Source organism: Homo sapiens, chromosome 12 (genome assembly GCF_000001405.40).
Source record: "Homo sapiens chromosome 12, GRCh38.p14 Primary Assembly".
In the NCBI taxonomy this organism is placed as follows: Eukaryota; Metazoa; Chordata; class Mammalia; order Primates; family Hominidae; genus Homo; species Homo sapiens.
This window is the reverse complement of record NC_000012.12, coordinates 8,724,593-8,749,207: the sequence shown is the minus strand read 5'-3', so window position 1 is coordinate 8,749,207 and position 24,615 is coordinate 8,724,593. Positions and strand designations below refer to the sequence as shown.

At 42.0% G+C, this 24,615-nt stretch overlaps 1 protein-coding gene and 1 pseudogene across 43 annotated transcripts in view; both read right to left on the bottom strand.

Annotated features, from left to right (window-relative positions):
* Positions 1-24,615, bottom strand: part of RIMKLB (ribosomal modification protein rimK like family member B) — a 114,454-nt gene that overhangs the window by 33,884 nt on the left and 55,955 nt on the right. The window lies entirely within an intron of this gene.
* Positions 6,132-6,850, bottom strand: RPSAP51 (ribosomal protein SA pseudogene 51; annotated as a pseudogene).

Below are 24,615 nucleotides of genomic sequence, written 5' to 3'. Positions count from 1 at the left end.
AACAATTTAAACTGGCTTCCTCTGAATATGACTGGGTGTCAAGACAGGAAAAAGGTTGAAGAGAAAAGTTTAATATTGTGCCCTATGCAATTCTCAATCTATATTATGTTTTGTATGTTTTTTAAAAAGTGAGAACATATGCCTCTATAATGAAAAAAGAAAATAATTTTTTAAAATAAATGTTTCTTGAACATTTATCCAATACCATTCTATTTAGGAAGACCCCAAATAATACACAAACAAGGTATTTATATGAGTTGCTTCTTTTTTTGAGACAAAGGCTCACTGTCACCCAGGCTGGAGTGCAGTGGCATGGTCTCAGCTCACTGCAACCTCTGCTTCCTGGGTTCAAGCAATTCTCCTGCCTCAGCCTCCAGAGTGGCTGGGACTACAGGCGTCCGCCACCATGCCTGGCAAATTTTTTTGTATTTTTAGTAGAGATGGAGTTTTACCATGTTGGCCAGGATGGTCTTAAACTTCTGACATTGTGATCTGCCTGCCTCGGCCTCCCAAAATGCTTACAGGCATGAGCCACCACGGCCGCCCCGAGTTTCTTCTTAAACCCTATTTTCATTAAAAAAAAAATTATATATATATAAAAAATATATAAATTGTGTATGAATATAAATTTTGTGTATATATATATATGCACACACACACACACACACACACACACACACACACACACGAATAATCCCACCTTGTCTGTGGGGGACGTTTCAAAACCCTCAATGGATGCTTGGAACTGTGGAAAGCCTAAACTGTAAGAACTATATATACTGTTTTTTTTCCTATACACACATACCTGTGATAAAGTTTAATTTATAAATTAGGCATAGTAAGAAATAATAACTAGTAAAACTGGACAATTATAACAATTACTGTAATAAGAGTTATGTAAATGTCCTTTTCTCTCAAAATCTTATTGTACTGTACCATGGGTAACTGAAAACTGCAGAATGCAAAACCATGGGAAGCAAAACTGTGGCTAGGGAAGACTACTATAGTTGTTTAAAACATTCAAACACAAAAATACAGAACATATTCACCTTCCATACAACATTCTAGGTACTTAAGGTTATTAGTATGTATTTTCCCTACTGTCATCTAAGTATACAGAAACATATATAGATATATAATCACTTAAAGTTATTGGCTGGGTGGTGGCTCACACCTGTAATCCCAGCACTTTGGGAGGCAGAGGCGGGTGAATCACCTGAGGTTGGGAGTTTGAGACCAGCCTGGCCAACATGGTGAAACCCCATCTCTACTAAAAATACAAAAATTAGCCAGGTGTGGTGGTGCATGCCTGTAATCTCAGCTACTCGGGAGGCTAAGGCTGGAGAATCGCTTCAACTCGGGAGGCGGAGGTTGCAGTAAACTGAGATTGTGCCACTGCACTCCAGCCTGGACAATAGAGTGAGACTCTGTCTCAAAAAAAAAAAAAATTGTACCAGAGACATCTTTCTGTATCAGAGTATATATAGCTTTATTTCATTACTTTAGGTGGGCTGAATGGAATTACATTTTATAGATACACCATATGATCAATTCCTTACTAATAATTGATATTCATCCAGTAAATATTAAGTACTATGTGTCAGATTCTTTTCTATATGGTCAAAATAGATTAATAAATAAAATAAGGTCCTTGCTCTCAAGAAGCTTTCTAGTGGGAGACAGACAGTATATTAATTTTTATGGTATTAACTTTTAAACATGGTAATAGTTCTGATGGAAGAAAAATCAGGGAGGTAGAACTAATGGCAAAATTAAGGCATAAACCATGAGCCGGGGGTGTGTGTGTTTAAAAAAAAGAGAGAAAGGACAATTCAAATGTAAGGCAGAGCATAAATCACGGGGCAAAAATGTTAACAATATGCGTGTCTCTCTGCGATTTGTATTGATGGTATTGATGTACAGTAAAAGATATGGTTGGTCAGGTAAAGTGTCAAATATGCAAAGCCGTATGTTCTGAACTAAAGAATTTATATCTGTTCTGATTAGGAGAACTGAGAGTCTGTGCTGGATATTGCCTGCTGATAGTCCATGCCATCCCATCTTTCAATTCTTCCCCTGTACGTATAGTAGGGACCAGAAGCATTTTCCATATACTCCTCATTCCATCTTGAGAATCCACCACCAAGATGACAATTATACAAAATTTTGGCCAGGCCTGGTGGCTTACTCTGTAATCCCAGCACTTTGGGAAGCAGAGGGAAAAGGATTGCTTGAGATTAGGAATTCGAAACTAGCCTAGGCAACATGAGATCCACGTCTCTACAAAAAAACTTAAAAAATTAGCCAGGTGTGGTTGTGTGTGTCTGTAGCCCTAGTTACTCAGAAGGCTGAGGTAGGAGGATAATTTGAGCCCAGGAGTTTAAGACTGCAGTGACCTATGATCAACCTGGAGGACAAAGACCCTGACCCTAAAAGGGAAAAAAAAAGTTTTTTGAAGGTGAAAAAAGTAGAAATTATTCTCCAGGAGCACCCATGGGTAGGTATGTGGTCATCAGCAGATGTGAGGTTTGCCTGTGGCTAACACCATTCTCCTCACAATCATTTGTTACGAGCATCTTGATATCTTTTTCTTTTTTTTTTTTTTTTTTGAGACAGAGTCTCAACTCTGTCGCCCAGGCTGGAGTGCAGTGGCACTATCTTGGCTCACTGCAACCTCTGCCTCCTGGGTTCAAGCAATTCTCCTGCCTCAGCCTCCTAAGTAGCTGGGACCACAGGCATGCACCACCGCGCCCGGCTACTTGTTTGTATTTTTTAGAGATGGGGTTTCACCATGTTGGCCAGGCTGGTCTCAAACTCCTGACCTCAGGTGATCTGCACACCTCAGCCTCCCAAAGTGCTGGGATTACAGGCATGAGCTCCCGGCCCTTGATATCATTTCTTAGGCGTTAGCAGTGACTTGCCTAGATAAGCAAATCTAAAGAGCATTCTAAAAATTGAAAAAAACCTCGGCGCCAGTTTGAGGATGAAAAATTTTGAGATAAGGATATAGAGAATGGGAATGTTAAGAAGGGAAGCTGGTTTGGGGCAGAAGATGTTGGATTTGGATCTAGATAGGAAAGACGTTGGTAATGACATAAGGATTTTAAAGTAGAATTACTGTACTTGAAATGTAGACTGGAACTATACATATATGTATACAGTCATACTGGTGGAGTGAAAACTGTGTATTTATGTTTAAATATTAATTTATGGGGTCAGGCTCAGTGGCTCACGCCTGTAATCCCAGCACTTTAGGAAGCCGAGGTGGGTGGATCACCTGAGGTCAGGAGTTCAAAACCAGTCTGGCCAACATGGTGAAACCCTGTCTGTACTAAAAATAGAACAATTAGCCAGGCATGGTGGCAGGCGCCTGTAATCCCAGCTACTTGAGAGGCGGAGGCAGGAGAATCACTTGTACCTACGAGGCAGAGGTTGCACTGAGCTGAGATCCAGCCACTGCACTCCAGCCTCGGCGACAGAGTGAACTTCTGTGTTTAAAAAAAAAAAAAAAAAAGGCTGGGTGCAGTGGCTCACGCCTGTAATCCTAGCACTTTGGGAGGCTGAGGAGGGTGGATTACCTGAGGTCAGGAGTTCAAGACCAGCCTGACCAACATGGAGAAACCCCATCTTTACTAAAAATACAAAATTAGCCAGGCATGGTGGCTCATGCATAAAATCCCAGCTACTTGGGAAGCTGAGGTAGAAGAACTGCTTGAACCAGGGAGGCGGAGGTTGCGGTGAGCCAAGATCCTGCCATTGCATTCCAGCCTGGGCAACAAGAGTGAAACACCATCTCAAAAAAAAAATTTACGGGAATCAGCCTGAGAACAGCTAAAGAAATAGGAATATATAAGTTGAAAATATGAAAGTAAAAAAGGGACACCTAGGACCTCAATAAGAGCCAGGAGAAGAAAGTAAAACTTAAAGGAAAAAAATCAGTTAAAAAAACAAACCAGCAAGGCCAGCCACAGTGGCTCACGCCTGTAATCCCAGTACTTTAGGAAGCTGAGGTGGGCAAATCACTTGAGGTCAGGAGTTCAAGACCAGTTGGCCAACATGGCAAAACCCGTCTCTACTAAAAACACAAAAATTTCACAAGGACAGAAAACCAAACACTGCATGTTCTCACTCACAGGTGGGAGTTGAACAATGAGAACACACAGACACAGGGTGGGGAACATCACACACCGGGCCCGTTGGCAGGTGAGGGGCTGGGGGAGGGATAGCATTAGGAGAAACACCTAATGTAAATGACCAGTTGATGGGTGCAGCAAACCAACATGGCACACGTATACCTATGTAACAAACCTGCACGTTGTACACATGTACCCTAGAACTTAAAGTACAATAATAAAAAAAGAAAGAATTTTAAAAAATGCAAAAATTAGACATGGTGGCACACACCTGTAATCCTAGCTACTTGGGAGGCTGAGGCAGGAGGTACACTTGAACCTAGGAGGCAGAGGTTGAAGTGAGCAGAGACTGTGCCACTCCACTCCAGCCTAAGCAACAGAGCGAGACTCCATCTCAAAATAAATAAATAAAGTTTAAAAAACTAGCAAAATCTATAATTATTAAATAGTATTATAAAAAATAAGAAAATCAGGAGAGAACAATCAAAACCATTAAATGAAAGAAACAAAACAAGAAGATTAAATTTTGAGAAAAGCTTGAGTCATCAGGAAGAAAGACAATGTAAATTGTCAAGAAAAAATTCAACCATTATTACCTTGTCATTATGCTAACCTGGAAACAGCTTTTGCTCCTTTTTAAAAATGGGATAAAGAAAGCAAAAAACTGTTCCACTCTCCAGTATAAACAGCCTATCTGTTGCCACCGGAAAATGGGAGTGCTCTACCCAAAGTATAGTTGGATCTGCACAGTGTACTATGGGGGTATTAGTGAGGATGGAAAGAAATTCAATGCCTCCTGTAACAAATACCTGATGTTATTCTAGGAAAACAGAAGTGATCCAAGGCTGGAAAGATGAATGTGAGCCAAAAAGGCAAAGTGGCATCTCTTAGGACTCTGCCTTATGAGCTACTGATCTCTTGAGCACTCACCAAATATCACTCATGCCTTTGACGTAGAGCTTATAAATGGATATAAAAGGAATGGTTTCTTCCCTTAGACCCATGTTATTTAGTAAACAGATGCACATAATTGTTCAAAGAACTTTACCCACGATTCCACTCTCATTGTAAAAACATGTATTCCAACTGAATGTGCTTTGTTTTCAACCCCATTTCCTCTAACACATATTGTCTTTTTAATAAACATCTTAAACCCCAACTTATAAAATTTTTCATCTAGCTTGTTGACTTAATACTGAAATTAAGATTTTGGTACAAATATTTTAGATATAAGTTTCGGATCAGTGTATAATAAAGTGCTAACGTAACAATAAGGTTAATAAGTTAACCCTCGAACAGCAATGGGGTGGGGAAGCAATCTTTGTTCCTGTTGATTAGGATATAAAAGGTATTGTGTGTATTAAAAGGTTGCTGCTGTTGTCAAAGCAGAGTGACAGTGTTAAGGGCTGATTATGCTCTGATCTGAATGGTAACAATCTCTCCCTCCCCATAATTAAGTGGGGGAACTCCTCATATGACCTACCATAAACTTCTGTTTTTTTGAAAGCAGAGTTTGGCTATACTCTTAATAATAGTAAGTACTAGTGGACAGTTTGGCTATACTCTTAATAATAGTAAGTACCAGTGGTTTTCTTCTCAGGAATCAAGGAACAGACAAATGGCAGCCTCCTTCCTTACTGATATTTACTTTCATTCCATCCTTGAGCATTCCAGATTATTTTTTAGGACTTCCGGAATTTTTTTTTTTTTTTTTTTTTTTGAGACAGACTCTTGGCTCTGTCACCCAGGCTGGAGTGCAGTGGCGCAATCTCAGCTCACTGTAACCTCTGCCTTCCAGGTGCAAACAATTCTCTTGCCTCAGCCTCCCAAGTAGCTGGGATTACAGGCGAGCATCACCACACCCGGATAATTTTTGTATTTTTAGTAGAGACAGGGTTTCCCTATGTTGGCCAGGCTGGTCTCCAACTCCTGAGTTTAGGTGATCCGCCCGCCTCGGCCTCCCAAAGTACTGGGATTCCAGGCCTGAGCCACCGTGCCCAGACTGCTCTTCTTTTTCAATCTCTTCAGAATCTCTGCAGAAGTAGAGACCAGACATAATCTACCATGGGTGTTCACAGGAGGTGGTGCCATGCGTTTGCAGAACTTCCCAGGGCCAACATCTACCACATTGGACCCCCTGAGAGAGCTCCCTTGTTGCTGCATGGGATGCCAATGTCCACACAGTGCAGAGAATCTGTTACACAGAGTAATGGTCGGCAGGTTAACTAAGATGTCTCTGTGAAAGGTTGGTGGTCAGCCTTGGGATCAATAACCATCAGAAGGCACAGCTCCTGGAAAGCTGCCTGGACTTGGTTAGTGAAGGTTCCAAGAGTCAAGCAACCAGCAACAGGAGTGGCTCCAGTGGTGGTAGCAAACTTCAGCACAGGCTGCCAGCCAGCATTCCTAGAGGATATATCACTGACATCAATACAGTTTTCAATGGCAACAACAGAAGGAGCTGCCAGTAGAAGCTTCTCCCAGGTCCTCTTCAAATTGATGATGCAGATGCCATCACTTTTTCTTTTATAGATACATATTCCATCTGAAAGTGAAGGGTGGTGCCCCCTAAGTGGGTTCCTGCTGCAAGGAACTTGAGGACATCCTCCTCCTCCATGTGCTCTTTGTAGGACATAAAGGTTCCAGACACCATGAAAACTTCCCTGTAAGTTACAATGAGAAGGCCACATGGACCCCTCCCTCTCTAGGTAGCGTAGAAAGGGACAGTGTCATTCTTTAGGATGGCAGTAGAAACCACAGAATAGTCAAATGAAAAGCATTAAAATCCACATGCTTTCCCTTCTACTTTTTAGGCTAAAACTATTGATGATTAATGATTTTTATGTTAAATGTGTAACAAATGTTATTAAAAGGCTCTCCAGCCGGGCATGGTGGCTCGTGCCTGTAATCCCAACACTTTGGGAGGCTGAGGCGGGCGGATCATGAGGTCAGGAGCTTGAGACTAGCCTGGCCAACATGGTGAAACCCCATCTCTACTATAAATACAAAATTAGGTGGGCATGGTGGCGCATGCCTGTAATCCCAGCTACTTGGGAAGCTGAGGCACGAGAATTGCTTGAACCTGGGAGGCGGAAGTTGCAGTGAGCCAAGATTGCACAAGAGCAAGACTCTCTCAAAAAAAACAAAAAAAAAAGCTCTCCTTTTTTAATAATTTAAACTTTTATTTTAGATTCGGGGGTACACATGCAGGTTTGTTACATGAGTATATTTGCATGATGCTGAGGTCTGGGGTATAACTGATCCTGTCACCCAGGGAGTGAGCACAGTACCCAATAGTTAGTTTTGGTCTTGCTCTGTCGCCCAGGCTGAAGTGCAGTGGCGCCATCTCGGCTCACTGCAAGCTCTGCCTCCTGGGTTCACACCATTCTCCTGCCTCAGCCTCCCGAGTAGCTGGGACTACAGGCACCCGCCATCACGCCAGGCTAATTTTTTGGATTTTTAGTAGAGATGGGGTTTTCACCATGTTAGCCAGGCTGGTCTCGATCTCCTGACCCCGTGATCCACCCGCCTCACCACCCAAAGTGCTGGGATTACAGGCATGAGCCACCGCACCCAGCCCCAACAGTTAGTTTTATAACCCTTGCGCCGCTCCCTCCTGGTTCTTCTATTTTATTGATTTATTTTTTCCTTCCATCAAGTTATACTTCAAATTGAAGAACTGATTCTCCTTTTTTTTTTTAAGGTGGAGTCTTGCTCTGTCGCCCAGGCTGGAGTGCAGTGGTGCGATCTCGGCTCACTGCAACCTCTGCCTCCCAGGCTCAAGTGAATCTCCTGCCTCAGCCTCCCAAGTTGCCAAGACCATAGACACACACCACCACACCTAGCTAATTTTTTTATTTAAAAAATCTTTTTTGACAGAGTCTCCCTCTGTCGCCCAGGCTGGAGTGCAGTGGCTCAGTCTCGGCTCACTGCAACCTCCGTCTCCCGGGTTCAAGCAATTCTTCTGCTCCAGCCTCCCAAGTAGCTGGGACTACAGCACACACTACCACACCCAGCTAATTTTTGTATTTTTAGTAGAGCTGGGGTTTCACCATATCGGCCAGGCTGGTCTCGAACTCCTGACCTCATGATTTGCCCGCCTCAGTCTCCCAAAATGCTGGGATTACAGGCGTGAGCCACCCCGCCTGGCTAATTTTTGTATTTTTTAGAGGGGATGGGGTTTCACCATGTTGGCCAGGCTGGTCTTGAACTCCTGACCTCAAGTGATCTGCCCACCTCAGCCTCTCAAAGTGCTGGGATTATGGGCATGAGCTAACACATCCAGTCGGGTTCTCCTATTTTTAAGAGTAGCTCAGTTATCACTGTTAGGTCAAACAACCATGAGAATTCTCTAAGTGCATGTCAATTGTAGAGAAAACAGCAAAAGTAGACATATGCTCTTTAAAATATTAATAAAGAATAAAGCATCTTCCTGGAGTTGGAGACCATTATTTTAAGTGAAGTAATTCAGGAAAGAAAAGTCAAACATCGTATGTTCTCACTTACGAGTGAGAGCTACGCTATGAGGACGCAAAGGCATAAGAATGATATAATGGACTTTGGGGACTCAGGGAGAAGAGTGGGAGGGGGTGAGGGATAAAAGACTACACACTGGGTACAGTGTACACTGCTTGGATGATGGGTGCACCCATCTGAGAAACCACCACTAAAGAACTTACCCATGTAACCAAACACCACCTGTTCTCCAAAAACTACTGAAATAAAAAACACTGTAAAAAATAAGTCTATAATGACCATCGGGGAAAAAAGTATTCTAAAAGAGGGGACACAAAATAGAATGTGTTGTTATTCACCATGTTGGTATTATTATTTACCGTATCAAAGAATTCAGAAACTAGAAAATACAAATATGGCTGGGTGTGGTAGCTTACACTTATAATCCCAGCACTTTGGGAGGACGAGGCAGGCAGACCACTTGAGGTGAGGAGTCTGAGACCAGCCTGGCCAACATGGTGAAACCCTGCCTCTACTAAAAATATAAAAATTAGCCAAACGCAGTGGTGAGCGTCTGTAATCCCAGCTACTGGGGAGGCTAAGGCAGAACTGCTTGAACCCAAGAGGCGGAGGTTGCTGTGAGCTGAGATTATGCCACCACACCCCCAGCCTGGGTGACAGAGCGAGACCCTGTCTGGGAAAAAAAGAGAAAATATAAATACATCAGTCATCATTTCAATGTTTGTGTCCCCCAAAATGTTAAGTGTTGAAATCCTAACCCTCAATGTGATGACACAAGGAGGTAGAGCTCTCATCAATGGGATTAGTGCCTTTATAAGAAGAGACAAGAAGCCAAGTGTGGTGGCTCACACCTGTTAACTCCACTTTGGAAGGCCGAGGCAGGAGGGTCGCTTGAGCCCAAGGAGTTCAAGATCATCCTGAGCAACATGGTGTGACCTCGTCTCTACAAAAAAATTTTTAAAAATCAGTCCAGCATGATGGCATATGCCTATAGCCCCAGCTACTCAGGAGGCTGAAGCAGTAGGATAGCTTGCACCTATGAGGTTCAAGCTGAGCTGTGATTGCATCATTGCGCACCAGCGTGGGTGACAGGCCCTGTCTCAAAAAAAGAAAAGAGATGGCCCTGCATGGTGGTACACACCTGTAATCCCAGCACTTTGGGAGGCCAAGGTGGGATGATCACTTGAGTCCAGGAGTTCAACACCAGCCTGGGCAACATAGTGAGAACTCATCTCTCTAAGAAAAATAATTTTTAAAAAGAAAGGAAGAGATGAGAGCTTGTACACATGCTTTCTTGTGCACGTGCTCTCTCTCTTCTCCATGTAAGGACACAGCAAGACGGCCATCTGCAAACCAGGAAGTGGGCCCTCATCAGAAACAAATCTGCCAGTACCTTGATATCGAACTTACCAGCCTCCAGAACACTGTTCTTCAGAACAACAGAAACAATTTCTGTTGTTTAAGCTATCCAGTCTATGGTAATTTGTTATAGCAGCCCAAACTAAGATCATCAATTTAAAAAAGTCTTTTCTAGAAGCAAGACTTTCAGAATGGTGGAATGAAAAGGCATTTTTCTAGCTCACCAGCAATACTAGAATCCTAAGTGTTAACCTCAAATGTGACAAAGCTGTATGGTAGATCTCTAATTCACAGAGAAGGAACTGTCCTTGTCTGTCTTACCACACACAAACTACCAAGATCTCTTAAATGTTCTGATGGAATGGACTATTCCAACAAAACTACTAACTCAGAAACTATCCAGTTGAGAAGTAACATGCCAGTCACTTTTTGTAACATCTTCCATCTATATAAATGAAATTTCTTGGAGCTTCCCTCACCAATTAGCTTGGCTGGGGGACGGGGGGTATCACTCCTCCCACCCATTCCCCATGAACACTGTAATTCTCAATAAGAAAACTACAACTTTTCTCTCTACTCTCCTTTTCTTATTTAGACTAAATACATTTTTGCAATCGTGTTGTGTGTGTGTAATCAGACAAAAAGATTTAAAAGTCTTATGAAATAATGAATAGTCAAGAAGAAAACATCACGGATGACCATACAAATACTGTCCAGGAAAGAAGACATTTTAATGGACTTCACATAGGTCATTACTTCAGGCCTTGGTTACTGCATTTTCAAAATGAGTTCTAAGAAACAGCTCGTTATTACTACATCAACTTTTTATGAAGAATGCTATTTTAAGCTTTGCGTTCTCCAGCAGAAACACTTAGGATGTATATTCAAAAACCATTAATTGCACGGTGTGGTGGTTCATCCCTGTAATCCCAGAACTCCAGGAAGTTGAGGCAGGCAGACTGCTTGAACCTCAGGAGTTCCAAGGTAGGCTAGGCAACATAGCAAAACTCTGTCTCTACAAAAAAATACAAAACTTAGCTGGGCACAGTGGTACATGCCTGTAGTTCCAGCTACTCAAGAGGCTCGGCTTGGGATCACCTGAGGCCAGGTAGGTCGAGGCTCCCACTGTCCCTAACCCTGACAATTTAAGCAAAATGAATAGTGACAGTAATGGATTATAATTTTTTGAATGAGACCATAAATCCAGAAGATAATAGAGAAAATTCATGGGCCAGGCGCAGTGGCTCACACCTGTAATCCTAGCACTTTGGGAGGCCGAGGCAGGCGGATCACCTGAGGTCATGAGTTCGAGACCAGTCTGACCAACATGGAGAAACTCCGTCTCTACTAAAAATACAAAATTAGCCGGGCGTGGTGGCGCATGCCTGTAATCCCAGCTACTTGGAAGGCTGAGGGAAGAGAATCGCTTGAAGCTGTGAGGCAGAGCTTATGGTGAGCCAAGATCACGCCATTGCACTGCAGCCTGGGCAACAAGAGTGAAACTCATCTCCAAAATAAAAAAGAGAGAGAGAGAAAATCCTTCCTTACAGTACAATACCAACTAATAAATACAGAATGAATAATAGAGATGAGGGGGGGAAAATCCATTTTGTAACAACATCATAATTGATTGAGGCAAGATTCATCAATGGAGGCTAAAACTATTCAAAGTCTGATATAAAAATAGGATATTTACAGTCTCAATCTCCCCACATATTATTAATAAAGAAAAACACTATATCTATATAGTAAGGAAACTTGGAAGACCTTAACCAAGTAATCAAATGTTGAGAAAAATGGGTATATGCCTCCTGATCTAAAGAATTATGAAGTACAGCATTTCACTTATGTGATATTCTTACCAAAAATGCATAACCTAACTCTAATCCTTAGTATATATCAGACAAATCCAAACTGAGGGACATTCTGCAGAAAAGCTCACTTGTACTCTACAAAAATGTCAAAAAAGACACAGGCAAAAAAAAAAAAAAAGTCATGATTAAAGGAAACTAAAGACACATGACAAATACAATGTGTGATCTTGAAATCCTGGATAAAGGAGAAAAAAATGCTAAAATGATATAGCTATTTTTGAGTATGAACTATATATTAGTTAATAGTAATTAATAAGGCTGGGCACGATGGCTCACGTCTGTAATACCAGCACTTTGGGAGGCCAAGGCGGGAGGATCACCTGAGGTTAGGAGTTCAAGACCAGCCTGGCCAACATGGTGAAACCCCGTCTCTACTAAAAATACAAAAAATTAGCTGGGCGTGGTGGCACATGCCTGTAATCCCAGCTACTTGAGAGGCTGAGGCAGGAGAACTGCCTGAACGCGGGAGGCAGAAGCTGCAGTGAGCAGAGATCGTGCCATTGCATTCCAGCCTGGGCAAGAAGAGCGAAACTCCGTCTCAAAAAAGAAAGTAATTAATAGCAGTATTAAAATTCCTGAAACTGGCTGGGTGAGGTGGCTCACATCTATAATCTCAGCACTTTGGGAGGCTGAGGCAGTTGGGATTGCTTGAGCCCAGGAGTTCAAGACCAGCCTGGATAACATAATGAAATACCTCATCTCCACAAAAAACAAACAAAAATTAGTTGGGTGTCATGACACACACCTATACTCCTACCCAGGGAGGTCAACGTTGCAGTGAGCTGTGATCACACCACTGCACTCCAGCCTGGGAGACAGAGCAAGACCCGTCAAAAAAAAAAAAAAAAAAAGGAAATACATGCTTAAGAATTTGGGGCACCTTGATCTAAATAGCTCAGAAAACAAACAAACAAACTACACGGAGTGGCAAAGCAAATGTGGCCAAATATTAACAATGGGTGAAAACTGAATAAACAGTATATACGAGCTATTTGTATTATTTTTGCAACATCTCTATAAATTTCCAACTATTTCAAAATAAAAAGTTCTTAAAAGAAAGACAAAGCTAGTAGACTTTTCATTTTAACTGCTTGGAGAAAGAAATTACCCAGCCTCCCTAAATAGCACCTTATAAAAAGAAAATAATTTTCAAGCAGACACCAAACTTGTAGCTTTCTAAAATTAGGCCCATCCTTAAAACTAAAATAGAACTAACAATGGTTTTCCACTCCAAAACTGGAAAACACTACCATGTGAGGAAGAAATCTTTCAGTTGTAACAAAATTGGTTAACTTGCTGCACTGAAGAGATTAATACAGACAATAAAAAGTCTAAAATTAGGCCAGGGCAGTGGCTCACACCTGTAATCCCAGCACTTTGGGAGGCTGAGGCAGGCAGATCACCTGAGGTCGGGAGTTTGAGACCAGCCTGACTAACATGAAGAAACCCTGTCTCTATTAAAAATACAAAATTAGCGGGGCGTGGCAGTGCATGCCTGTAATCCCAGCTACTCAGGAGGCTGAGGCAGGAGAATTCCTTGAACCTGGGAGGCAGGGGTTGCAGTGAGCCGGGATCCCGCCATTGCACTCCAGCCTGAGCAATAAGAGCGAAACTACGTCTTAAAAAACAAACAGACAGACAAAAAAAAAAACGAAGAAAGTCTAAAATCAATAACCATTCCCATAAATATGTCATTAAACAAAAACAGGCAAAAGTTCAGTGAATAAAGTTTTAAAATTTTTGACCCAAAGCTAATTATGTATCTCATCTACTTAGCAATACTTCCCCTCTGTTTTAAAGCTTAATCTCTTGGTATTTACATTAAAAAAAAAAAATTTAGGCTGAGCACAGTGGCTCACGCCTATATTCCCAGAACTTTGGGAGGCTGAGGCTGGCAGATCACCTGAGGTCAGGAGTTCGACACCAGCCTGGCCAACATGGCAAAGCCCCGTCTCTACTAAAAATACAAAAATTAGCTGGGCATGGTGGTGTGCGCCTGTAGTTCCAGCTACTTTAGAAGCTGAGGCAGGAAAATCACTTGAACCCAGGAGGTAGAGGATGCAATGGGCCAAGATTGTGGCAATGCATTCCAGCCTGGGCAACAAAGCAAGGATCCATGTAAAAAAGAAAAAAAAAAATTTTAGCCTGCTTGATAAATATTGCTGCCTGATAAGTAGGCAGCAATACCCCACAGCTGACATCATTACCAAATATTCTGCAGCTCTCTGACCAAGGAAAACAAAATTTTTGATTTGACCTACAAACTTTCTGTACCCATATAAGGACAGTTTTTCTTATTGCCTATTAGATGAAATTTAAGAAATATAATCCAGAAGATGACAGAAGCGAGAAAACTACCTCAATTCTCCTCATTTTCCCCTGAAGTGAAATTTCTGATCCTTAATGTATTATTTGCTTAGCTGACATCAAGTCTCATAAAAGGACTACAAAGAACTCCAAAGGTTTTAACCAATGGCTAACTGGAACATCGAAGATAGAATTCAGTTTGCCTCTTGGCATTTATTACTTTCTCCATCTGGAAGATGCTTTTTATTTTAAATAAATAAATATATCTATTTTTATAAAATAATTTGGAATACAAGTTAACCCCTTCCTACTTCCTGTGTTGAATTAGTTAATAAAAAGAAACAACTAAAATAAACTTTGAGAAGCTACACAATACTATGGGCAAGTAAAACATGACAACATCTAAACCCAGTGGCCACCAACAAAAACAAAATCAAGGATTTTTACACCCATGAGTACCACTAAATGAACTCACATTCAGTCCAAATATAGCTTGATTCCTTAGATGTCATTAAATACTATATGATTTAATAAAATATTTTTCATCTATGAGACAAAGCTTCTTATGCATACATAATAAAGGTATTAAGGTGAGGGTAGTAGGCACTAACTTCCTGCTCATAAGAACATAAACAAACTTTCTAAGCGTCAATAGGTCACCAGAACCAATATATTTACTTTCAAAATACCTTTCAGGTAAACTAGCTCATTCTATTTCCAGCCATGTTAAAATACAAGATTACTGTCTCCCATGAACAGCTTTGAACTGCTCCCCTAGTTCAAACCCTTATATTTCTGAATTTGGCAATAATTAGGTCAAATTATCCTTTCTCCAAGTTCTCCTTCCTTCTCCCATATCTCAGATTTAGGCTCCTTTCTTTGCCTTAAGTCTACTTTGGTACCATTAGGCCTAGGTAAAATACAACTTTTCCACGAAACTTCACCATTCCTTTGCCTTACCAGATAATTCCTCTGTGTTCTCCAAGTACCTTATTTGTACTTCTATTATAACCACTATTTTATTGTCCTCTAGTAGACCTACAAGCACTTGATGGGGTGAGGACAGTGTCCTCCTCAAACACTGTACCTTTCAAAGTGTCAATATATAGTAGACACTCAGTAAGTAGTCATACAATCTACCTAAATCAATCGATCAATCTAACAATCACCTATCATCTATCCAGAGACAGGGTCTCACTGTGTCACCCAGGCTAGAGTGCAATGGTCATAGCTCACTTCAGCCTCCAATTCCTGTGCTCAATCAATCCTCCTACCTCAGCCTCTCCGAGTAGCTAGGACTACAGGTGTGCACCATCACGTCCGGCTAATTTCTTCTTTTTATTTTATTTTTTGTAGTGACAAGGTCTTGCTATGTTGCCCAGGCTGGTCTTGAACTCCTGGCCTCACATGATCTTCCTGCCTTGGCCTCCCAAAGTGCTGGGATTACAGGCGTGAGCCACCATGCCCAGCCTGAATCAATTTTAATTAACAAACTCTTTTCTTCACATGAATTTAAAATCTCAACTTATTCTAGTTTCTCACTTTTTCAGACTTAAAGCAATTTCATGTTTTTCCTTATATTCAGGTTACTTAATAATAGAACATTCTCCTCCTCCGTGTCTATTCATGGCTATGGTAGTAAACAGATACTACACGATGGATCTCATCTTGTAACTTTGAAATAATAGTAGATCCTGAGTTAAGATGTGGCAATGATCTGAGCAAAGGTTTTAAAATGAGTCTTTTTTTTTTTTTTGCTTTAACAAGAAGCATTTGTTTTCTAAATAAAATATGTATAATATAAATTCAAGAACTGATATTTCTGAACAGAATAATTCTTTGTTGTTGGGGGCTGTACTATGCCTTACGAGATATTTAGCAGCATCCTTAGCCTCTATCCATTAGCTGCCAAGAGCAACCTCCTGCCCAGTTGTTTCAAACAAAATGTCTACGGGTATTTCTAAATCACAATTCTATACAACTGAATAGTATACAGCCATACTAAATATTGGGTACATTCCCAAGAAAAACAACAATAAACGTCATCAAAAAGATTTGTTTATAGCTGACTTATTCAAAGTTGCAAACTGGAAACAACACAAACGTCCACCAATAAGAAGACCTATGCGGTATATTGTATGAATTATACCTCAACTAAAAATGGAAGAATAAAGAATTTTGGCTGGGCTGACATATAAAAACCTCTAAAATATTAAGTCAGGGAAAAATAATATTCAGAGCAATGTGTATGATTCTTTTGCGTAAAAAAATTAAAGAGAGTGTGTGTGTGTGTGTGTGTGTGTGTATATATATATAATTTTCTGTTGCATGCATAACGCTTTCCCCCGGAAGAATATTCAAGAAGGCAGGTGATGGGCATTATCTTCACAAAGTGTCTGCATTTTAATTATGCCATTAGTACTTTTTGACTCTTAGGATACGCATACAATAGTTATTAATGTTAAAATGTCAGATTATCTGAATGCTAAGATTCTGAACCATTTTTCCTTCTTCCTTATTAAAGAAGAGGTAACACCACCCCAAAAATACACAATGCAGTAAATATACAGTTTTTAATTTTTTAAATACTCAGCCATGTTAAAACACAAGATTACTATCTCCATAAACAGAAATGGAATAGGAAAGCGTGACTGTGACTTCAATTAATGGACCTAAATGTGTTGGGCTCCATATATTACAAAGGGCAGAAGAGTCCAGTAATTTGATTCCTTAGGATCAAAAGTGCTCCAAATGAGATAAGCAACTAAAGTCTTGATCAATGGCAGAAACAAAGGGCAAGTAGGAATCACCTGCTAAGTAAAAGCTAAAGGCTAGAGTGGCAAGAGAAAACAGCCTCACATTATACAGACCTGTGCCCATTTATGTGTTGATTTGGTCATTAAATCTACAAAAATCTCCAATACCAACAGGGTCTCAAGCTCCAGTCCACAATAAAAGTTCTAGTTCTAGTTCTAGGCCAAGGGACCCAAGACACCAAGCAGAAGCAACCAAAGTTACTATTCAGCAAGAAACAAACTTGGGCAGGGGAAGAGGAAGGAGAGTACTTCATACTCTAAAATAAGCCTGCAAAGTAAAATGTTAAGGCACATGAAAAAAGTAAGAAAAACAGGCAATAAACTTAGTAATCAAGAGATGAATTCTATCCTGATGAAACAAACATGATAAAGCAATCTGAAATGACTTTAAAATAAGTATGCTCAAGATCCTCAAAAGGATAAAATATATATCCTCGCTTGAGATATTGTAAAAGCTAAAAAAGTTAAAAAAAAATCCGCAGGTATCCAAGAGGAATATCAGATTAACTACAAATGACAGGAGACTATTCTACATATATAAGATGCCAAAATAAAAACAACATCTTCAAAACACTGGAGTACAAAGTAACTGACTCTCCACAATTTAAAACCCAACGAAACTATCATTGAAGAATAAAGCAAATAAAGACATTTCCAGGCACACAGCAAAGATTGTTTACCAATTGCTGACCAGAGCTTAAAGAACCACTAAAGGATGTCAGCAAAGTGGTGGAATAGGAAATTCCAAGCCCTCATCATCCCCTCCTTGCCTAACATTAAAAAAAAAAAACCACCACCAGGAACTGGCTAAAATAATCTTACTGAACCTCTGAAAAACAGTGAAAGGAGGCCCAGGGCAGTGGCTCACACCTGTAATCCCAGCACTTTGGGAGGCCGATGTGGGTGGATCACCTGAGGTCAGGAGTTTGAGACCAGCCTGGCCAACGTGGCGAAACCCTGTCTCTACTACAAATACAAAAAATTAGCTGGGTGTGGTGGTGGGAGCCTGTAATCCCAGCTACTCAAGAGGCTGAGGCAGGAGAATCACTTGAACCCAAGAGTCAGAGGTTGCAGTGAGCCGAGATTGCGCCACTGCACTCCAGCCTGGGCGACAAGAGCGAAACTCCGTCTCAAAGAAAAAGAAAAAGAGAAACAGTGAAAGGTCTACAGCACCAAGCAAATGCCCAATCAAGAAAGCTGCATTGAGGCCGGGCACGGTGGCTCACACCTGTAATCTCAGCACTTTGGGAGGCTGAAGTGGGCAGATCACTTGAGGTCAGGAGTTCAAGACCAGCCTGGCCAACATGGCATAACCCCATCTCTACTAAAAATATAAAAATTAGCCAGGTGTGAAGGCATATGCCTGTAATCCCAGCTACTTACAAGGCTGAGACAGGAGAATCTCTGGAACCTGGGAGGAGGAGGTTGCAGTGGGCCGAGACCACGCCACTGCACTCCAGCCTGGACGACAGAGCAAGACTCCGTCTCAAAGAAAATTTTAAAAAAAGAAAGAGCTGCATTGAAAATGGTAGAAAAGATGGTATTTTATTCACCCTTGCCCTACCCTTTCCACAATGCAAAGTTGTCTTGATCTAGAAGACTTTAGGCAGCCCAATTCCCTACGTAAAATTGGAGGGTGTAGGGCAGATCTCATTAGCAATATTCAGATCTGTCTAAGGTCTGGTCTGTTTCACCTAACTAGGTTCTCAGGTTGGAAAAGCTGCAAGCCAGCTACAGTCCAGCAGAGGCCTGAGGCAAGCTATTATAGCTGGAGACATGCAATGGACCATCTTAGGCCCTGTGACCAAGCTGGAGTGAGATGATTTGGGAAATTAAGACATCTAAAAGCAGCCAGGGTGGCTGAGCACTGTGCCTCATGCCTGTAATCCCAGCACTTTGGGAGGCTGAGGCAGGACTGCCTGAGCCCAGCAATTCAAAACCAGCTTGGGCAAGACAGCAAGACCTGTCTCTACTGAAAAATAAAATAAAATAATTAGCCGGATGTGGTGATGCATGCCTGCAGTCTCAGCTACCTGGGAGGCTGAGGTGGGAGAATCACTTGAGCCTAGGGGTTGGAGGCTGCAGTGAGCTATGACTGCAACATTGTACTCCAGCCTGGGTGACAGAGTGAGAAACCCAGTAACACACACACAAAGAACAAAAGCAGCCAAGGCCAGTCAAAACACATGCTCAGAAAAGGCTTGACAATTTCTTAAACTCTTGTGTCAGTATTATCCCAAGGACTTGAATACACATATTTCTCCAAAGATATACAAATAGCCAATAGGTCCATGAAAAGATGCTAAAAATCACTAATCATTAGGGAAACACAAATCAAAACCACAATGGGATAACCCATTAGGATGGCTATTATAAAACAGAAGTTGACAAAGATGTGGAAAGTTGAAACCCTTGTACACTCTTGATGGGAATGCAAAATGGATAAACAAAATGCAGCAAACACATAAAATGGACTATTAGGTCAGGTATGGTGGCTCATGCCTGTAATTCTAGTACTTTGGGAGGCTGAGGTCATAGGGACAGGAGGCAGGGAAATTCTGGACAAAAGAGGGCAGATCCCTGGTGAGGGCCCAACCCTCAAGCCAAAAAGCCTGGTACCATGGCCCAAAGTAAGAATTTACATCCCTGTTTTCCTGCTCGAATGCTGCCTTTTCCAAAACCACCCATGGCCTGCCCCTCCCCACTCTCCATCTTGTGCCCACAAAAACCCCAGGCTCAGCCAGCACAGACAGGAGAAGCAGCTGGACGTCGGAGACTATGGTTAGATATCAGAGAGAAGCAGCCTGACTTCAGAGGGACAGCTCGAGAGCGCAGCTTCAGAGAAGAGTCCAGCCACCTCTGGCTGGACACCAGGGGAAGATTACCTTCCCGCTCCATCCCCTTTTCAGCTCCGCTTCCCACCGAGAGCCACTTTCATCTGCAGCAAAATACCCCACATTTACCACCCTCAATTCACTTATGCGACCTGATTCCTCCTCAACACTGGACAAGAACTTGGGTGCCAAGAGTGTGGGTGCAAAATGCTGTCACACTGACCCTCCATTGAGCTGTTAACACTTAAGCCGTCTGTGGATGGCAAAGCTAAAAGGGCACTGTAACACTTCCTTTGGGGCTTTAGAGGGTTGTGGGTACCCTCCCCTACACACTGTGGCGGCGCCAGTATGAAGTTTGCTCTTGCCAGCACCCAAAAGCACTTGCCCCCAGCTCCTGCACCCGCTTACCTGTGCTCCCCCTCCCATGAGGGGTGGAGCAGTAAGTGAGTGGAGTTCACCCCTGCTGGAGCCCATGCACTCCAGTTCCCATCCCACAAAGCGGTCAGGGAGATACTCTGCTTCAGAGGCAGGTGGAACATTTGAGCCTAAAAGTTCAAGACCAGCCTGGGCAAAATGGCAAACTCCATCTCTTAAAAAACAAACAAACAAACAAACAAACAAAAACACACACACACACACACACACACAATTAGCAGAGCATGGTGGCAGACTACTAGGGAGCCTGAGGTGGGAAACTGCTTGAGCCTGGGATGTGGAGGTTGCAGTGAGCCAACATCATGCCACTGCACTCTAACCTGGGAAACAGAGTGAAACTCTTGTCTCAAAAAATAAAAAAAGCCTAAGTAGGACTTCCAGTTTCTGGTAAGCTTAGAAGACTAAGCTACCAACTTGCTGGGATTTTACTAAAATCTAACCTACCTAGGGGGAGAAAAATACAAAACTCCAGCCCCCTCTGGACATTATGTTCCACCTAAAGGGAAATAAAAATAATTGGGATACACTAGTTATGTTTGTAGTCCAGTAGCAAAGGCTCATCAAAAGGCAGAGACCTAATCATAGGATGCTTTACCTCCCCACACACCTTACCACTATACCACTAAAGGCCTATTTACTCCAGTTCCTTTTACACAATTCCCACCTTTCAACCAAAAAATACAAGTTATCTGAAAAGGCAAAAACACAGTCTGAAGAAACTAAACCAGAGTCAAAAACTAAACTAACCAGAGACAGATGTAGCAGGAGTGGTAGGATTTTAAAAGACTGTGATTTATAGGCTAAAGACTTCCACAAAAATAGTAGACAACAAGCAAAAACTGATGGATAATGTAAGGAGAGATATGGGAATTGTAAGAAAGAACTAGTTCCAGGATCCCCCACAGATACCAAAATGCATACAACAAGTTCAAGTTCCCCTAGCTGGCAATGCAGAACCTATGGATACCAAAAGTTGGCCCTAACTGTGGGTTTTGCATTCCACGAATGTATGCATGTATAGATAGACAAATATATTTCATCATGTGTTCAAAAATACTAGATTTTTTTTTTTTTTTGAGACAATGTCTCACTCCGTTGCCCAGACTGGAATGCAGTGGCACAGTCTTGGCTCACTGCAACCTCCACCCCTGGGGTTCAAGCAGTTCTCTCCTGCCTCAGTCTCCTGAGTAGCTGGGATTACAGGTGCCCGCCACTATGCCTGGCTAATTTTTATATTTTTAGTAGAGACAGGGTTTCACCATGTTGGCCAGGCTGGTCTTGAACTCCTGACCTCAACTGATCCGCCCGCCTCAGCCTGCCGAAGTGCTGGCATGAGCCAACAAGGTCCGGCCAAAAACACTAGATGTTTGATCTGCATTTGGTTGAATCTGTGAATGTGAAATTCAGATGCAAAACCCATGGATACAAAGTGCCTACTTTGGCTGAGTGCAGTGGCTCATGCCTGTAATCCCAGCACTCTGGGAGGCCGAGGCGGGTGGATTACCTGAGGTTGAGTTCAAGATCAGCCTGATCAACATATAGTGAAACCCTATCTCTACTAAAGAAATACAAAAATTAGCTGGGCGTGGTGGCACACGCCTGTAGTCCCAGCTACTTGGGAAGCTGAGGCAAGAGAAATGCATAAACCTGGGAGGCAGAGGTTGCAGTGAGCCAAGATCATGTCACTGCACTCCAGCCTGGGCAACAGAGATTCTGTCTCTCTCAAAAACAACAATAATAACAACAACAACAACAAACCAAAGTGCCAACTTTATTTGATTGCGTGTATAATCACTCTGTGTGTGTGTGTGTCTGTGTGCACGTGCAGGCACACACATACAGTTACATATAACACTTAAAAGAAATGAATAACAGCAATGATCTCAGGGACTGGTGGGAGGAATTAGCAATATTTTGCACTACCCATGAGGTGGGTATTTAAAAGTGGACTTAGATTAATTGTAAATGTATATTGCAAACCCTAGGGTAACCACTTTAAAAAGCTACATAAATGAAATGCCAAGAAAGGAGGGAAAACAGAATTAAAATGCTCAATTAAAATGACAAAGGGCAAAAAAAGAATGGAAGACAAAAATAAGAAAAACAGGGGTAACAAAGAGAAAACAGTAACAAACATGATATGTTAATTTAACCATATCAACAGCACTGTAAACGTCAATGGTTTAAATATTCCAATTAAAATACAGAGATTGTCAGTGGATCAAAAAACAAGACCCAACTACGTGCCATCTATAAGAAAATTTACTGTAAATATAGACAAACATACATTTTAACAGTAAATAAAATGAAAAAAAAAAGAATAAAATGGCCCAGTAAACTTGTGGGTAAAAAATAAAAGAATTAAAAGTTTAAAAATTAAAAATAAAAAAGCAAATGGATAGAGAAAGATATACCATGCTAGATATACCATGCTACACTAACCAAAAGAAAGTGTAGAAAAACAGCTGTATTATTTTCAAACAAGCTATAGTCTGGGAGAAAATATGTGCAAATAATATAACTGACAAAAGATTGTTATGTAAAATATACAAAGGGATCTTAGAATTCAACAATAAGAAAATAAACCACCCAGCTAAAAAAACGGGCAGAAGACCTGGACACCACACCAAAGAAGATATACAGATGGCAAATAAGTATACGAAAAAGTGCTTCATGTCATGTCTTCAGGTAACTGCACATTTTAACAGTGAGAGATACCACTACATCTTACTGGCCAAAATCCAGAACGCTGACAACACGAAACAATGAAGAGGATGTGCAACAACAGGAACTCTCATTGCTGGTGGGAATGCAAAACAGTACAACCTGGGCCGGGCACAGTGGCTCATGCCTGTAATCCCAGCACCATGGGATGCTGAGGCGGGCAGATCACTTGAGGCCAAAAGTTCAAGACCAACCAGGCCAACATGATGAAATCCTGTCTCTACTAAAAATACAAAAATTAGCTGGGCATGATGGCACATGCCTGTAGTCCCAGCTATTCGGGAGGCTGAGACAGGAGAATCGCTTGAACCTGGAAGGCGGAGGTTGCAGTGAACCAAGATCGCACCACTGCACTCCAGCCTGGGTGACACAGTGAGACCTTGTCTCAAAAAACAAACGAACCAAAAACAGTACAACCACCCTGGAAGACAGTGTGGCAGTTTCTTACAAAAGTAAACATACTCTTACCATATGGTCCAGGAAAACTGTGCTACTTGGTGTGTACCAAAAGGAGTTGAAAATTTATGCCCACACATACCTGAACATAGATGGTTAAACCAGCTTCATATGGCGCTAAAGCCCTACCCAGCAGCCACTCCAGAGCAGGGCTCCCCTTGGCTCCTACCTGCCCCCTTGCAGCCTCTGCCAGGGCTGGTGTGCCTCGCAGGCTGAGAACATATGCAAAGGGGCCGGGGCAGACTTTGGGAAGATGCAACTCTAGGATGACTTGAAAGTAGAGCATCCTGACGTCAGGTGAGACTAGCCTGGCCAACATGGCAAAATCTCATCTCTACTACAAACACAAAAATTAGCTGCGCGTGCTGGCGTGCACCTGTAATCCCAGCTACCCAGGAGGCTGAGTCAGGAGAATCGCTGGAACCGGGGAGGTGGAAGTTGCAGTGAGCCAAGATCGCACCACTGCACTCCAGCATGGGCAACAGAGCAAGACTCCATCTCAAAAAATAATAATAAAAAAAAGAAAGTAGAGCATCCTTTGCCTTCCTGGGAGAGAAAATTGTAACTAGCACACAGTCTACACATGGAGTTTTCAGAAAAGTCTTCACCTGAATGAGAAGCCTACCTCCATCAGGACCTGGAATGTCTGATGTCTGTGTGTAACAAGTAATTTTCTTCTGGATGTTAGCAAGCTGGTGAAATAAGATGGTCCAGTGTTTGTCATCTCACAGAAACAACAGTTTAAACAACTACCACAAAAATACATTTATCAGAGCTAAAAAATCGACTGAGAAATTATAGTACCTGGGTGTAGCATGGAAATAAGACAAATGCATTAAAGAGGGTAAGAAGGACAGTGTCACATTACCTACATCAGCCCTCCACTAACCCTAAGCAGGAGAATGAAGCAAGTAACAGATGTGCCTTAGATCCCAACACCAGCCCTATATCAGTAAAACCCAGTGACAGGCAGTTCCCCACAGCACCATATCCCACACTGGTAACTGAGGACTTAGTTTCCAGGCCAGGACCTGCAGATCCAGCCTCCAGCCCTATCCCACTGTCAGGTCAGCAACTGTAGACCCAGGTGCCAAGCCTATCCCAACACCTGGCCAGCTCCTGCAGACTCAGGCTCAGGGTCTAAGTGAAGCACTTATGAAGCTAGACTCCAGGCCCAGTGCTGCAGACCCAAGTGGCAGTCCAA